The sequence below is a fragment of the Homo sapiens genome, chromosome 1, assembly GCF_000001405.40.
Source record: "Homo sapiens chromosome 1, GRCh38.p14 Primary Assembly".
In the NCBI taxonomy this organism is placed as follows: domain Eukaryota; kingdom Metazoa; phylum Chordata; class Mammalia; order Primates; family Hominidae; genus Homo; species Homo sapiens.
Window position 1 is genome coordinate 8,054,413 of NC_000001.11, and position 17,618 is coordinate 8,072,030.

At 44.0% G+C, this 17,618-nt stretch overlaps 1 long non-coding RNA gene and 1 pseudogene across 1 annotated transcript in view, besides 3 other annotated features; one reads left to right on the forward strand and one right to left on the reverse strand.

The window, feature by feature from the left end:
• ERRFI1-DT (ERRFI1 divergent transcript) overlaps positions 1–17,618 on the forward strand; it is a 100,578-nt gene that overhangs the window by 27,920 nt on the left and 55,040 nt on the right. The gene's annotated exons all lie outside the window — the stretch shown is intronic.
• RPL7AP18 (ribosomal protein L7a pseudogene 18) lies at positions 2,769–4,075 on the reverse strand (annotated as a pseudogene).
• Positions 11,064–11,264: a silencer, noted in NCBI's record as "peak44 fragment used in MPRA reporter construct". NCBI's record gives its function as "represses an SCP1 promoter by STARR-seq MPRAs in K562 erythroleukemia cells {active_cell/tissue: K562}" and the evidence as "EXISTENCE:reporter gene assay evidence [ECO:0000049][PMID:32103011]".
• Positions 13,465–13,964: an enhancer, noted in NCBI's record as "H3K4me1 hESC enhancer chr1:8127937-8128436 (GRCh37/hg19 assembly coordinates)". NCBI's record gives its function as "activates a minimal SCP1, AML or CMV promoter by ChIP-STARR-seq in naive H9 embryonic stem cells {active_cell/tissue: H9 hESC(naive)}" and the evidence as "EXISTENCE:reporter gene assay evidence [ECO:0000049][PMID:30033119]".
• Positions 15,967–17,415: an enhancer, noted in NCBI's record as "VISTA enhancer hs1833". NCBI's record gives its function as "enhancer in: neural tube[7/8] | limb[6/8] | branchial arch[6/8] | eye[4/8] | nose[6/8] | facial mesenchyme[6/8]" and the evidence as "EXISTENCE:transgenic organism evidence [ECO:0001131][PMID:17130149]".

Sequence of the window (17,618 nt, forward strand, 5' to 3'; positions counted from 1 at the left end):
CCACCATACCCACCTAATTTTTGTATTTTTGGTAGAGATGACATTTTGCATTTTGCCATGTTGCCCAGGCTGGTCTCAAACTCCTGAGCTCTAGCAATTCACCTGCCTCAGCCTCCCAAAATGCTGGAACTACAGGTGTGAGCCATCGTGCCTGGCTTGTAGTCACTAATCTTTACGGATTATTTCACCTTTCTAGTTCTGAAAATCGTCTCCATTCACCTTTCAGAAATGTGAGCTTGGTACACTGTACCTGTGGGACTAGTAACCTTTCTCTTAGCTCTGAGGTCAAATCACTTTTATTTGGATATGTTTTCTGGGTTTTCTTTCTAAGTTTTTGTTTGAAAACTTAAGAAATGGATGTATGAATGTTTAGAGCCTTGGTTTCTGTTGTTTTCTTTTGTTCTTGTTTTTAAGAGTGTTCCTGAGAAAATTCCTATGCAGCCTAATAATGATACTAGGATTTCATTGAGAAAATTTTAATTTTAATTTTAGAAAAGTTACTTTTTCCGGTCGGATGCAGTGGCTTATGCCTGTAATCCCAGCACTTTGGGAGGCCGAGGCCGGTGGATCACTTGAGATCAGGAATTCCAGACCAGCCTGGCCAACATGGCGAAATCCCTTCTCTACTAAAAATACAAAAATCAGCTGGGTGTAGTGGTGGGTGCCTGTAGTCCCAGCTACTCAGGAGGCTGAGGCAGGAGAATCGCTTGAACCCAGGAGGTGGAGGTTGCAATCAGCCAAGATCACCCCATTGCATTCCAGCCTAGTTTCCACATTGCTGATCTTTCCTGATTACCCTGGTACCTTTGTTTAGCACAAATGGGTTTCTTGGATTCATTCTCTAAGTCTTGAATATCTCTTGCCTTGTTATAATCTATTTGTTTAATTTACAGGAGAGGGATTTGCTGTATGATAAGCACAGTTAATCCTTTGCTCTTGGCATCTATTTTGCCATTTTCAGCTTTTGTTGGGGTACAATTAAAAATTATTTACAGGTTTAGCAGAGTGTTTTTTCTTTTCTTTTTTCTTTTCTTTTCTTTTTTTTTTTTTTTTTTTGAGATGGAGTCTCGCTCTGTTGCCCAGGCTGGAGTGCAGTGGCATGATCTTGGCTCACTGCAACCTGTGCCTCCCAGACTGAAGAGATTCTCATGCTTCACCCTCCGGAGTAGCTGGGACTATAGGCTCCCGCTACCACACCTGGCTAATTTTTATATTTTTAGTAGAGATGGGGTTTCACCATGTTGCCAGGCTGGTCTCGAACTCCGGACCTCAAGTGATCCTGCCTCGGCCTCCCAAAGTGCTGGGATTACAGGTGTGAGCCACCGTGCCCGACCTCTTTTTCTTTTCTTCCTGTTTTTTTTTTTTTTTTTTTTTTGAGACAGGGTCTCCCTGTCACCCAGGCTGGAGTGCAGTGGTGTCATCATGGGTCACTGCAGCCTTGACCTCCTGAGCTCAGGCAATCCTCCCACCTCAGCCTCCCTAGTAGCTGGGACTACAGGCATGCACCACCATGCCCAGCTAATTAAAAAAAAATTTTTTTAGAGACAAGGTCTCACTGTGTTTTCCAGGCTGGTCTCGAACTCCTGGGCTCAAGTGATCTACCCCCCTCAACCTCCCAAAGTGCTGGGATTATAGGCGTGCACCACCACACCTGGCCTGGTGTTTTTTTTTCTATATTGAAAGGCATTGCTTTTGAAGTTATCTATTTTCTTTCATATCCTCAAGTAATCTGACATAACCCATTTGTGATGACTCATGAACCCAGAGAAGATGTGGCAATTTTACTGTTCTATGTATCTTCTGTTCTTTCTGGCTTGCTCTTACACTTGTAATGCATTTATGCATTCCACAAATACGTATTAAAAGCCTATTCCATTCCAGGTGCTTTTCTGGGTACTCAGCTCCATCAATGAGCAAATGAAGTTCCTGCTCTTAGGGCACTTACATTCTAGAGACGGATAATGTATCTGTTTATATACAAGACAGTAAGTAGACAAATGATTAAGGGAAAAAGGTGCAGTAAAGTTAGAAGACAGAGTGGGGCTAAATGGCCTATTTTATTTTATTTTTTTGAGATGGAGTCTCACTCTCTCACCCAGACTGGAGTGCAGTGGCACGATCTCGGCTCACTGCAGCATTTGCATCCCGGGTTCCAGTTATTCTCCTGCCTCAGCCTCCCAGGTAGCTGGGATTACAGGCACGCACCACCATGCCTGGCTAATTTTTGTATTTTTAGTAGAGATGGAGTTTCACCATGTTGGCTAGGCTGGTCTTGAACTCCTGGACCTCAGGTGATCCTTCTGCCTTGGCCTCCCAACAGTGCTGGGATTACAGGCATGAGGCGCTGTGCCTGGCCTGTAAAGGGGCTATTTTAGAGGGATGGTCACTGATATGGGGCTATTGAGCAGAGATCTGAATGAGGGTGAACAATGAGAAGACACAGGGGAAGAGTGTTTGAGGCCATGCAAAGGGCCTGAGGCAAGAGAGTGCTTCACTTGTTCAAGTGGAGCAAGGCTGGCCTTAGAGTGAGGGCCAGTGCTAGGAGATGCATTCAGAAAGGTGGACCCTGTCGAGCCACTGTCCCCTTGATTGTGATTTGCCAGCCACCTGGCCTTGTCACATTCCTGGAACACACCTGTCCTTGCTGTCTTGTGCCTTTTCTCTTTCTGTTCTCTAGAGTGCCAGTGTTCTTTCCGTGGCTGTTCTCATGGGTGCCTTCTCATTGTGCTTTTTACAGCAGTATATTTGTTTACATCTTTTTTTTTTTGGAAGGAAAATCTGTATTATTTTAATTATTTTTATATACTGAAAACTCAACAGTGTACATTTAATCCAGCTTGGTGGCAAGTTCTTTAGCCTTTGCCTTTTTGAGATTGGTAATGCGGGCCATAGACTTGGAAGCCAGGACATTGCCTCCCCAGTGACAGCAGATCTCGTCGTGTCTGTCTTTGTAATTGGTCCTGATAGCTTCCACCAGCTTAGCCAAAGCTCCTTTGTCTTCCGAGTTAACCCATGCGAAGGCAACAGTGGTGCAGGTCTTCCTGTAGACTAGACGTCCCAGTCTTGCCTTCCCCTTGATAGTGCAGTAAGGGACCCCCATTTTACGACACAGGGCAGGCAGGAAGACAACAGCTCGATGGGATCCATGTCGTGTGCAGTGATCACCAGCTGAGACTTTTTGTTCTCCACCAAGGTGGTGACGTTGTTAACTCCTGCTTGAAGGACATTGAAGGACTGGTGGTCTCTTAGTGGGGACATCCCCTTTGCTGGCAGCTGTCTTCTCAGCCCAGAGCCAACAGCCTCTGCTTCTTCTCTTGCTTTGTCTCTGGTCTGTACTTGTGGGCCAGCTTAAGCAGCTGAGTAGCTGTATGGCGGTCCAGGGCTTGGGTGAACAGGTTCATCACAGGAGGCACTTTCAGCCTCTTATAGAGGATGGCTCTCTGCCACTGCAGCCTGATACAGTGGGGCCATTTCACAAAGCCGGTGAGGTCCCTTTTGGGCTGGATGTCCTGTCCCATGCCAAAATTCTTAGGCTGTTTCTTTTCTTTCTCTTTCCTTCCTTCCTTCCTTCCTTCCTTCCTTCCTTCCTTCCTTCCTTCCTTCCTTCCTTCTTTCTCTTTCTTTCTCTCTTTCTCTTTCTCTCTTTCTTTCTTTCTTTTTTTGAGACAGATTTTTGCTCTTGTTGCCCAGGCTGGAGTGCAATGGCGCAATCTCGGTTCACGGCAACCTCCGCCTCCCGGGTTCAAGTGATTCTCCTGCCTCAGCCTCCCAAGTAGCTGGGATTATGGGCACGTGCCACCACGCCCAGCTAATTTTGTATTTTTAGTAGAGATGGGGGGTTTCTCCATGTTGGTCAGATTGGTCTCGAACTCCCGACCTCAGCTAATCCGCCCACCTCAGTCTCCTAAAGTGCTGGGATTACAGGCGTGAGCTACCGTGCCTGGCCTGGCCTTTTCTTAAACAGGGGATTCACCACTTTCTTGGCTTTCTGCTTCTTCTTGACAGCAGGGGCGGGAGCCGCCTTCTTCCCCTTGGGCTTCTTTCTTTTTGGCATCTTGGGCAGTGGGAGGAGAGATTGTTTACTTCTTTATTGACTTGCCCTAGCACCCCAACTGGCATATCAGTGCCACGTGGATCGAGACCAAGTTTGTTTGATTACCATGTACTCCCAGGACCTACTACAGCACCTAGGACTCAGCAGGCTCCAACAAGTGTTTGTTAAGTAAGTGAACAAAGATAAACATCTTGGCCGGGCTTGGTAGCTCATGCCTGTAATCCCAGCACTTTGGGAGGCCGAGGTGGGTGGATCACCTGAGGTCAGGAGTTCCAGACCAGCCTGGCCAACATAGTGAAACCCCATCTCTACTAAAAATATAAAAATTAGCCGGGTGTGGTGATAGGCTCCTGTAATCCCAGCTACTGGGGAGGCTGAGGCAGGAGAATCGCTTGAACCCAGGAGGTGGAAGGTGCAGTGAGCCGAGACTGTGCCATTGCGCTCCAGCCTGCAAAACAAGAGAGAAACTCAGTCTAAAAAATTAAAAAAAAAAAAAAAGCTTGTATTGGTCAGTGAGTTTCCTTGAGTAGTTTAATTCACTTTATATAAACATGTCCCTCTTTTACTGGGAAGAGAGAACCAGGAGAAGAAAAGAAAAAGACAAACACAACCAAATAAATGTGTCCCCACCTCTCATCTCATTATCTCCATCTCCCATGTTTATTACCAAATAACACAGTTCATATTCCTGGGATTCCCCTATTTGACATTTTTCTGTTCTCATGATCTTGAAGTCGATCCCATATGAATACTAAGGTTCTGGCATTTCTGTCACCACATGTATCAAGCTCTTACCCAACATATTTTCCCATTGCTTCTTGGTTTTCTTTTGACATATTCTTCATAACATTAACCTTATAAGGCATGTAAATATTTCTTTCTTTCTTTTTTGTTTTTTTTTTTTCTTTTTTTGAGACAGGGTCTTGTTCTGTCGCCCAGGCTGGAGTGCTGTGGTGCAATCACAGCTCACTGCAGCCTTAACTTCCCAGGGTCATGCAATCCTTCCACCTCAGCCTTCTGAGTAGCTGGGACCACAGGAATGTGCCACCACGCCCGGCTAATTTTTAAATTTCTTTTTGTAAAGATAGGGTCTCACTGTATTGCTCGGGTTGGTCTTGAACTCCTGGGCTCAAGTGATCCTCCCACCTCGGCCTGCCAAAGTACTAAGAGGCGTGAGCCACCGTGCCCGGCCCAGACCTGGTCTTTCTGTCCTGACTTCTTGTTAAGTGATGACAATGTGCTCCTTTTTCATTCTGCCACAGTAGGTGGGTTTCTTTTATTATTATTATTATTTTCTTTGTAGAGACAGGGGTCTTGCTTTGTTGCTCAGGCTGGTCTCAAACTCCTGGCTTCAGACAATCCTACCTCAACCTCCCAGAGTGTTGGGATTACAAGTGTGAGACCCTGCCTCTGGTCGAGGAGATGGGTTTCTATTCCGTGCAGTTATACACAATTTCTAATTAATACAGCTTAATTGAGAAGGTGAGATTTGATCAGGGCTTTGAAGGATGTGAGTAGCAACTAACTGCGAGAAGGGGGCCAATGAAACAGTAATTCCTAGAGGCTCTGTTCAGACTTAGGGCTTTTGAATATCAGGGGTTCATCATCTGAGCTGCTGAATTAGACTAGGACTTCTTAAATACTTCTAAAATTGGTCTTGGGAATGAACCTGCAAGAAGAAAAAAGCCTAATAAAAATAGTAATAGTAGCAGTAGTAGCAGTACTAGTAATAGCTGGCTGGGCGTAGTGGCTTACACCTGGAATCCCAACACTTTGGGAGGTCGAGGCTGGAGGATCACTTGAGCCCAGGAATTCAAGGTCAACCTGGGGCCAGGTGCAGTGGCTCATGCCTGTAATCCCAGCACTTTGGGAGGCCGAGGCGAGTGGATCACCTTAGGTCAGGAGTTTGAGACCAGCTTGGCCAACATGATGAAATCCTGTCTCTACTAAAAGTACAAAAAGTTAGCCAGGCTTGGTGGTGGGCACCTGTAATCCCAGCTGCTTGGGAGGCTGAGGCAGAAGAATTGCTTGAACCCGGAAGGCGGAGGTTGCAGTGAGCTGAAATGGCGCCATTGCACTCCAGCCTGAGCAACTCAAAAGAGTGAGACTCTGTCTCAAAAAAAATAAAAAATAAAAAATAAACCTGGGCAACATAACAAGACCCTGTCTCTACAAAAAATAAAAATAAAAAAATTAGCCGGGCATGGTGGTGTGTGCCTGTGGTTCCAGCTACTCAGGAGGCTGAGCTGGGAGGATCACTTGAGCCTGGGAAGCCTAGGCTGCAGTAAGCCACGATCGCACCACTGCACTGCAGCCTGGGTAACAGAGCAAGACCCTGTCTCCGAATAATAATAATAATGGCAGGGCGTGGTGGCTCACACCTGTAATCCCAGCATTTTGGGAGGCCAAGGTGGGCGGATCACCTGAGGTCAGGAGTTCCAGACCAGCCTGGACAACATGGTGAAACCTTGTCTCTACTAAAAATACAGAAATTAGCCTGGTGTTGTGGTGCTCACCTGTAATCCCAGCTGCATGGGAGGCTGAGGCAGGAGAATCGCTTGAACCCAGGAGGCGGATGCTGCAGTGAGCCTAGATTGTACCACTGCACTCCAGCCTAGGCAACAGAGCGAGGCTCTGTCTCAATAATAATAATAATAATAATAATAATAATAATAATAACACTTCCAATGTAATAGGCTTTGTTCTAAAGGACTTACATGCGTTGCCTCCTTCAGTCCTCACAGCTACTCTTTGATGAAGGGTAGTTCCCACCTTATGGCTGAGGAAATAGAAGCAAAGAGAGGTCAAGCAACTTGCCCCAGGCTACACAGCTAGGAAATGGATGAGCCAGGATCTGAACCCAGGCAGTATGGCCTGAGCCTGAGCTCATTAGTTCATGCCAGGCAGGGTTTGACCAAAACCTTGGACTCACTCCTGTCTGCTTTCCTTCAGTGACTAAGAGGATTCCTGAGATGGATGTGCAAACATGAAGTGTTTACTTTCCTCCATGGGAATGTACTTCTGGCTTCCACTCCTCAGCTGCTGCTGCTAAGCCAGTGAGATAGATGGTGGTTTGGAAACACCCTCATGTGTGTTTCTTCTTTTTGTTGTTTTTGGGATCCTTACTGAAATAATTTTCCCCTCATTTTATGAAATATAGAGGTTCTTGCTGTATCTTATACCCCACCCCAAATTCTACTGATTTGTACTGAGCTGTGATAAAAATAATGATACCAAGTACATGCAGGGTTTCTTCCAGCCTCTAGGACCTGGCTTTGTCTTCCACTGCTCCTTCTGGGATGCTCCTCTGAGAACCAAAATCCGACCCTTTACATCCAGATCAGGACAAACTCACAGAGTAGTTTGCGAACTACTAGTTTAGAACTAGTTCGGAATCTGCTTGTTACGGTTTGTGACAAGAGGAACGCAGAAATCGAAAGTAAATAAGGGTAAGAGACTTTTTAGCAATTGAGCATTTGTCCCCAACACCCAAGCATATGATCAGGGAATTAGTCTTGACGGGGCATGGACCCCTTTGGATGCTGTTGAACTTGTGATGAGTTGCATGCTGCGTGAGCTGTGTTAAAGTCATGGGCAATAGGACTGATTTTTGGTTCCTGAAGGGGTGGAAATTAAAACAAAACAAAATAAAACCAAACCAAACAAAGTAAAACGAAAGAAGTGACCCTTTATCACAGAAAGTTTGTGAGTCACTGCTCTAACCCATATCACATTTTGCCACTTGTGAATCACCATAGTATTTCAGTCTACATCACATAATCTAGGACTGGACTATACAGGTTTATTATTGTTTTTTTGAGACGGAGTCTCACTCTGTGGCCCAGGCTGAAGTACAGTGGCGCCATCTTGGCTCACTGCAATCTCTGCCTCCCACCTCCTGGGTTCAAGTGATTCTCCTGCCTCAGCCTCTTGAGTAGTTGGGATTACAGGCACGCGCCTGGCTAATTTTTTTGTATTTTTAGTAGAGACAGGGTTTCACCATGTTGGCCACGCTGGTCTCAAACTACTGGCCTCAAGTGAACCACCCGCCTCGGCCACCCAAAGTGCACTGGGATTACAGGTGTGAGCCACTGTACCCAGCCTGGACCATACAGTTTTTATTTATGATTTATTTATTTTTATTTCATAGAGATGGGGTCTTGCTATGTTGCTCAGGCTGGTCTCAAACTCCTGTCCTCAAGTGACCCTCTCTCCTGAGCCGCCCAGAGTGCTGGGACCTCAGGCGTGTGCCACCATGCCTATCTATTTTTTTAAGTTTTTTTTTTTTTTTTTTTTTTTTTGTAGAGACAGGGTCTCACTCTGTTGCCCAGGCTGGTCTCCAACTCGTGGGCTCAAGTGATCCTCGTGTCTCAGCCTCCCAAAGTGCTGGGATTATAGGCATGAGCCACTGTGCCTGGCTCAGAGATACGTTTTTAAAACCTCGTTCTAGTTGCTTCATTTATGGAAGTCTCACCTTCTTGTTTGTATTCAGGACCCATGAGTTGGCACTCAAGGATTTTTGCTTCTATTTTTGTTATGATTCAAATCAAGAGATGAGATAGGAGCCAAGGCAAATATCTCTACAAAAAAATACAAAAATTGGCGGGGCATGGTGGCTGACGCCTGTGATCCCAGCTACTTGGGAGGCAGAGGTGGGAGGATTGCTTGAGCCCAGGAAGTCAAGGCTGCAGGGAGCCATGAGGGCACCACTGCATTCCAGCCTGTCTCAAAAAAAAAAAAAAAAAAAAAGTAGGGTTGGACAGAAAGCAGAGTCAGCTTTGCCTCACTTGGTGGTAAAAAGAAAAAAGAAAGTCTCGAAACATTTATTTATTTATTAGAAATGCAAAGCCAACGAAGAATCTTCAGGCAAACGATTGTAGTGACTGTTTATTGGAGGTTATTGTGTGCCAGGCATTGTGCATTTACATATATTATTTCATTTAACCTTTATACCATAATCTTTTAAAAGTAGGTATAATTATCACCATTTTGCAGATGAAGAAAATGAGGTGTCAGAGAGGTTAGGTAACTGGCCCAAGGTCACACAGCTACTAAATGGTGGCAGTCTGTCTGACTTGGAAGCCTGTGTGCTTTTGCTTATTCCCATTATTGCTTGATGACACCAATTGCTGCTAAAAGGGAATGTTACTGGATTTAAAGGATATGTGTACTCTGTCATTTTTCTAAAACAGCCTTCTTTGGCATTGTTTCAGGGTCTTATATTTCCATTAAAGCCTTCCCTTTAGATACTTAGCTTTTACTTCAGAGGATGGTGCGGGAGTTACAGCTTGGGCTAGGCTATCCTGCAAATTGCAATTCCAGCTTTTCCTTTCCATCTCTTGGGAGAAGACAGAGACAAAGCCTTCTTCTTTGGCTTTAATTAGGCTGTAATTCAGCCTCATCACCGGGGAGGTCGGGACCTGCAGCTTTAGGAGAGATCTGCGTCCTGTCTTTGAGGACAGCAGATTTGCTTCGGGACTCTGGAGTGCTGTCAGCACTGTGACCAGGATGGGGTTTTCAGAGGCTGCTTTCTGGTTCTTTAAGGCTAATTTTTAAATTTCATTATTATTGTTTTTTTAGTGCTTTAGTAGTTTTCAAAGGCTTTTATTGTTTAATTGAAAAATATGTTTATTAGTTCATATTTTTTATTTTTTAGACAGAGTCTTGCTCTGTCACCCAGGCTGGAGTGCAGTGGTGCAATCTCGGCTCACTGCAATCTCCGCCGCGGGGGTTCAAGTTATTCGTTGCCTCAGCCTCCCGAGTAGCTGGGACTACCGGTGCCCGCCACCACACCCAGCTAAATTTTGTATTTTTAGTAGAGACAGGGTTTTGCTGTGTTGGCCAGGCTGGTCTCGAACTCCTGACCTCAAGTGATCCACCTGCCTCTGCCTCCCAAAGTGCTGGGATTACAGGCGTGAGCCACTGTACCCGGCCAATTAGTTCATAATTTAATCAGCTTTGAACATTATTCAAACAATTTGCGATCCCGAATTAGAATTCAATTGCAGTTTATATAAGATGAAGGTACATTTAATAAAGGAACATTTATCTACTAATATACTTAACTTGGTTGTTGAATTATCCTCAGAACATAAATTTATAATAGTATTCCTTTAAATGTACCGTATTTTTTAAAACCGAATTGACTACTTTAAGGATGCAGGTATAGCTAAAAAGTCATTTAGAACTTTTTAAACAGTACTTTGAGTTGCCGTTTTATAATTTTTTTTATACATAAAACATAACTGAATTTATGGCTGGTATTTGCATTTCTAAATCAGAATATCAGATCTATACTTGAAAAACCTTTTTTAAAAAACTGTTTTAAAAAACAAGATTCCAGGCCGGGCACAGTGGCTCACGCCTTGTAATCCCAGCAGTTTGGGAGGCCAAGGTGGGTGGATCACTTGAGGTCTGGAGTTCCAGACCAGCCTGGCCAACAAGGTGAAACCCTATCTCTACTGAAAATACAAAACTTACCTGGTTGTGGTGGTGGGCGCCTGTAATTCCAGCTTCCCGGGAAGCTGAGGCAGGGGAATTGCTTGAGCCCAAGAGGCAGAAGTTGCAGTGAGCTGAGATCACACCACTGCACTCCAGCCTGGGTGACAGAGTGATACTCCATCTCAAAAAACAAAACAAAACAAACAAAAAACAAGATTCAAGAATTGCCTACATTCAATATGAGTTCTTCGACATGATTCAATTTCAATGATTATGCAAAGGCATAATTCTGGAGAAGCAAATTCTCTGCTTTTCATGTTTTGCTTCCTTTGAGGTGACCTAGTAATTAATAGAGAAATCAGAATAATTGTGATTCAGGATGTTATTATAAGGAAAGGTAATGTCAGGAGGGAAAAAAATAGACTCCCCTCTTAGGAACCTAAGTGGTCTTACGAAAAGTAGTTTACTTACCATGTGTATTAGTCCATTTTCACACTGCTGATAAAGACATACCTGAGACCTGATAATTTACAAAAGAGAGAGGTTTAACTGGACTTACAGTTCCACACAGCTGGGGAAGCCCCACAATCATGGTGAAAGCCAAGGAGGAGCAAGTCACGTCTTACATGGATGTCGGCAGGCAAAGAGAGAGAGCTTGTGCAGGGGAACTCCTCTTTTGAAAACCATCAGATCTCGTGAGACTTATTCACTACTACCAGAACAGCATGGGAAAGACTTGCCCCATGATTCAGTTACCTCCCACTGAGTCCTTCCCACAACACGTGGGAATTCAAGATGAGATTTGGGTGGGGACACAGCCAAACCATATCACCATGATACCTCTAAAATATATGTGTATGTGTGTAACTAGTTTCTAGTTTTTCTTTAGTCAATTATCTCTGTCACACTGTTACTGTTCTTTTTTTTTTTTTTTTTTTTTGAGATGGAGTTTCACTCTTGTTGCCCAGGCTGGAGGCTGGAGTACAATGGTGCGATCTCAGCTCACAGCAATCTTCGCCTCCCGGGTTCAAGCGATTCTCCTGCCTGAGCCTCCCAAGTAGCTGTGATTACAGGCATGCACCACCACGCCCGGCTAATTTTGTATTTTTAGTAGAAATAGGGTTTCTCCGTGTTGGTCAGGCTGGTCTCGAACTCCTGACCTCAGGTGATCTGCCTGCTTCGACCTCCCAAAGTGCTGGGATTACAGGCATGAGCCACCCCGCCAGGCCTGTTACTGTTCTTTTAATCCCTCAGATCTAACTGGGGATCAAAGCCTTGAGTTCCGGCTGCTAAATGACACTTCATCCATCCCTTCCCTGCAGTCCAGCTGCCTGCAGCTGCTATATCTCTTGCCTTTTAACTGGTCTTCTTGATTCCAAGATCTTCCATTCTGCAATCCATCTTTCACACTGCCACCTGGGTGATGGCTGTTTTGAAAACAATACCTGATCATGTCACGCTGCCACTTAAAATCCTCCCATCTTCATTTCTCACAGAATAAAACAAAAGACAACATAAGACTCAGGCACAAAATAAAGGCAAGGTCAGACACAGAGCCCTTGCCTCTTAATCGTTGCCCACTGTTCCTTCTGCATTCGCAGGTGTTCTAGCCTCAGGGACAAACCATGGTCCGTCCTTTCAGCTAAACTTTACTCTTGGCCTAGAATGTTCTTCACCAGCCTGCCCCCACCGGACCTGGGACCTCTGTGGATGCCTTGGCATCACCACCTCCAGGATAAGCCTTCCTTGATCATCTCTTTCCTCCCTTTTCTCCTCCTCCTCCTCCTCCTCCCCCTCCTCCTTCTTTCTTCTTCTTCTTCTTCTTTTTTTGAGATGGAGTCTCGCTCTGCTGCCCAGGTTGGAGTGCAGTGGTGCAATCTCAGCTCACTGCAACCTCTGCCTCCCAGGTTCAAGAGATTCTCCTGCCTCAGCCTCCCAAGTAGCTGAGATTACAGGCATGCACCACCACGCCCAGCTAATTTTTTTTTTTTTTTTTTTTTTTTGAGACAGAGTCTCACTCTGTTGCCTAGGCTGGAGTGCAATGGCTGGATCTCGGCTCACTGCAACCTCCACCTCCCAGGCTCAAGTGATTCTCATGCCTCAGCCTCCTGAGTAGCTGGGATTACAGATGTGCACCACTGTGCCCACATAATTTTTGTATTTTTAGTAGAGACGGTGTTTTACTCTGTTGGCCAGGCTGGTTTCAAACTCATGGCCTCAAGTGATCCACCCGCCTCGGCCTCCCAAAGTGCTGGGATTACAGGCGTGAGCCAGCACTCATGGCCCCTCTCTTGCTTCTAGTGAACCAAAATCCCAATGCATTTTAAATATTAATCTCGGTTACATGAGTTTTAATTACGATATTTGTATCTAATTATTGCATTTTAAAAACAGGGTTGCACAGCGGTTGAGGCCTCTGGCTCTGAATGCTGACTGCCTGGATTCTGGTTCTGCCTCTGGCATTTCCTATCTGGGTTATATGGGGAAATTACTTAAGCTGCCTGTACTTCAGCGTGCCGTCTGTCAAATGGGGATAATAATAGGGCCCACTTCATAGGGCTGAAGATTTAGTGAATCAATATATGTAAAGCTCTCGGCTGTGACAGTAAATAATATTTACTGAGCCCTTTATTCATCCCATGAGGAAGCCATTATGTAAATTGCATAGATTTTATTTGAGAAAATACTTTTTAAACTATTTTATTTATTGCTATATTCATCTGTGAAATAAATAATTGCATAATGTAAAATCAGTTGTAAGAAATTGCTAGTTATCCATAGTGTTTTTCCTCAGGAAAATGAAAAACTTCAAACAAAGGAATTTTATATTCTTTTTCTTTTTTGAGTTGGAGTCTCGTTCTGTTGTCCAGGCTGGGGTGCAGTGGTGCAATCTCGACTCAATGCAACCTCCTCCTCCTGGGTTCAAGCGATTCTCCTGCCTCAGACTCCCCATGCATCTAGGATTACACACGTGCGCCACCACACCCGGCTAATTTTTTGTATTTTTAGTAGAGACGGGGTTTCACCATGTTGGCCAGGCTGGTCACGAACTCTTGAACTCAAGTGATCCGCTTGCCTCGACCTCCCAAAGTGTTGGGATTACAGGCGTGAGCCACCGCGCCAGGCTGGAATTTTATATTCTTGGGCAGAAAAGTTTAATGTACTTCTTAGGTTTAGTAATTTTAGTCAGAGCCTTTACTGACTGGTAGATTACCTACAGTTTATTGAACTAATATATTCTGTTTCTGAAGAATGCAGCGCCTAGATTGCCTGCCTCATATTAACGTGCTTAGCAGAACTAGAAGTAACAATTAAACATTTCTGGTCGGGTGTGGTGGCTCAAGCCTGTAATCCCAGCACTTTCGGAGGCCGAGGCGGCGGATCACCTGAGGTTAGAGTAGAAGACCAGCCTGACCAACATGGCGAAACCCCGTCTCTACTAAAAATACAAAAATTAGCAGGGCGTGGTGGCGTGTGTCTGTAATCCCAGCTACTCGGGAGGCTGAGGCAGAAGAATCGCTTGAACCCAGGAGGCGGAGGTTGCAGTGAGCCAGGATCGGGCCACCGCATTCCAGACTGGGCGACAAGAGCGAGACTCCGTCACACACACAAACACACACACACACACACACACACACACACACACACACACACACACAAAGTCTGACACTTGGTTCCATGACCATACCAATCAGGGAATTGCAATTTATTTTCTCAGTTCTCCCGTGCATGGGTGATTCTAATTTTGATCATTATAAATGATGCTGAAATGAACAACTTTTCACCCCAAACTTATTGTACATCTTTAATTTTTTCCTTAGAAAAAATTGATCAAGGCAGAATGATCAGATCAAAGGAAATGATTGAATCTTTGGATACCAATTGCTAGCTTACCTTTCAAATAAGTTAAACTAATTTACACTCTGACCAACAGTGTTTCAGTGTTCATTTCGTCTATATTTTGCTATCAATGAGTGTTAATCTTTTTTTTAATCTTTCCTAACTTTATAGGCCAAGAAAAATGAAGGTGTATCATCCCGTTACTTGCACTTATTTAGTTTATTAGTTTTTAATAAAAGATTTATGCTTCAGATTCCACGATTTTTCTGATTACAAGATTGGTTTCTTTCTTTTTTTTTTTTGTTTTTTTTTTTTTGAGACAGAGTTTCACTCTTGTTGCCCAGGCTGGGGTGCAATGGCATGATCTCGGTTCACTGCAACTTCCACCTCCCAGGTTCAAGTGATTCTCCTGCCTCAGCCTCCCAAGTAGCAGGGACTACAGGCATGTGCCACCACGCCCGGCTAATTTTGTATTCTTAGTAAAGACGGGGTTTCACCATGTTGGCCAGGCTGGTCTCAAACTCCTGACCTCAGGTGATCCGCCTGCCTCCACCTCCCAAAGTGCTAGGATTACAGGCATGAGCCACTGCGTCTGGCCTGATTACAAGATTTTTAATAGCCAAAACTTTTTATATCTAATAAGTTTTAATTGCATGTATCAAGTATGATTAAGAAGAATCACAAGACCTTAAACTCCAGACAGTGAAGACATTATTATTATTATTATTATTATTTAACTTTTATTTTAGGTTCAAGGGATACATGGTCAGGTTTGTTACCTGGGTAAATTGTGTGTTGCTGAGGCTTGGTGTACGAATGATCCCATCACCCAGGTAGTGTGCATAGTACTGAAGGGGTAGATTTTTACCCCTTGCTCCTCTCCCCTCCTCCACCCTCTAGCAGTCCCGTGTCTATTGTTCCCATTTTTATGTCCATGTGTACTCAATACTTAGCTCCCACCTAGAAGTGAGAACATGCAGTCTTTGATGTTCCATTCCTGCATTGATTTGCTTAGGAAATGGCCTCCCGCTGCAGCCATGTTGCTTCAAAGGACATGATTTCATTCTTTTTTATGGCTGCATAGTATTCCATGGTGTATATGTACCATATTTTCTTTATCCAGTCCACTGTTGATGGGCATCTAGGTTGATTCTGGATCTTTGCTATTGTGAATAGTGCTGCAATGAACATACGAGTGCATGTGTCTTTTTTGTAGAATGACTTATTTTCCTTTGGGTATATACGCAGTAGCAGGATTGCTGAATCAAATGTTAGTTCTGTTTTACGTTCTTTGAGAAATCTCCAAACTGCTTTCCGCGGTGGCTGAACTAATTTACATTCACACCAACAGCATACAAGCATTCCCTTATCTCTGCAACCTCGCCAACAGCTGTTAGTTTTTGTCTTTTTATGTATAATTTTTTTTTTTTTGAGACAGAGTCTTTCTCTGTCACTCAGGCTGGAGTGCAGTGGTGCAATCATGGCTCACTGCAGCCTCAAACTCCTGGGCTCAAGCTATGTATTGTTTATATATACATACAGGTGAAAAAATGTGTGTGTGTGTGTACACACACATAGATTATTTGAATTTAAAATATATGGATAAACACATATATACATGTTTTAAATTCAGAAAACCTTGATGGTGTTTGAAGGTAGACTCCTGAGGACTTGAGGGAAGGAAGGGGTTAAACAAGGCACTGGGCAAGCGTGGGGCAGACTTCTCGTCAGGAAATCTGGTATTTCAGGTTGGACTGGACTTTGGAGATGGCTGCTCCTTTGTTCAAGTGAAAAAATGCTTTAGATCTGGCTGCGCTCTCAGATGTGACTTGTACAAAATGAATTCTAGACTTTTCTCGCATCAAGAAAGTGAAGTGGGGCCTTCCGGTAACTTGAACAGACTTTACCCCGGGAATCCCAGACAGCAGCATCTCCGATTCCCTAAAGTGTGCACAATTACAGCTGTGGCAACCGACCCTAGGAAGGCTCAGCACCACAGCGAACCCGAGAATATTGGGAATAAACTTGGAAATGTGGAGATAGGTTCAACAAACCTTTGGGTGTTCAGCTGTTTTTTTACACAAAGCCGTTTATTTAGTATTAGATTACTGTGAGATTTCACATTTTCTGTGAGAGGAATTCTTAAGTAACAGTGATAGTGAAGTTGCCAGGTTTACCTCCACATGATTTTGTTTTCTTAGTCTCTATATTTTGGGATTCATTTATTTATATTTCTCCAATGACCAGCACCTATCCTGTAGATTACTTCTTGCAGAAACTTTTTTTTTTTAGTTGCTTCATTTAACCTGTGACTAATTGGTTAAATAAAAACAACATGTACTCCTCGTATTTACAAGTACATTTCGTTCTGGGCCAGATAAAAAGGAGTAAATTACACTGTTCATTCCTGTCGTTTTTTATCCCTCCCTTTCCTTCAAAATTATAAACAAAATTTACATTAGAAAGTTCTTAATTGCTTAAATAGTGTTCCTAGTGTTTATTTAGGTTTATTTTACTCAATTTATTTTTTGAGATGGAGCCCCGCTCTGTCACCCAGGCTGGAGTGCAGTGGCGTGATCTTGGCTCACTGCAACCTCCATCCCCCCGGGCTCGAGCAATTCTTCTGCCTCAGCCTCCTGAGTAGTTGGGATTACAGGCGTGAGCCACCATGCCGAGCTAATTTTTTTTTTTTTTTTTTTTTTGTATTTTTAGCAGAGACAAGGTTGTGTCACATTGGCCAGGCTGGTCTTGAACTCCTGACCTCAGCTGATCCACCAGCCTCGGCCTCCCAAAGTGCTGGGATTACAGGCGTGAGCCACCGCATCCTGCCTACTTAGGTTTATTTTGAATTACATTGATTGGTTCCTTTAGGAATTTACCTACTAAGCACAAACTCACCTTTCATTCATGTGTGTATTATTCTGTAACTATTTTCAAATTCCATATTTGCATGTGTTCTCACTGGCCAGGTTATGACTTCTCAAGTCCTTCGGTTTATTCACAACTTAGAAAAGGGAGAAAGTAGGAGAAGGAACTGATTAGGAAGGAGATCAGTTCCAATGAGATTGGTAAACCTGGGATGTAAATGAAACAGCAAAGTTGTGATTTAATGGAAAGAGCGGTAGACCAGAAGTCCAAACACCTGGGTTCCAGGCTGGGCACTCTCCTTATTTGTTGTGCGAAATCGCACAATTTCAGTTTACCTCTCTGAGTCCTTGTTTTCTTCACTTGTGAAATGAGCATTATCAAACTTGTCTGGCCATTTCCATAGGATTGCTGTGAG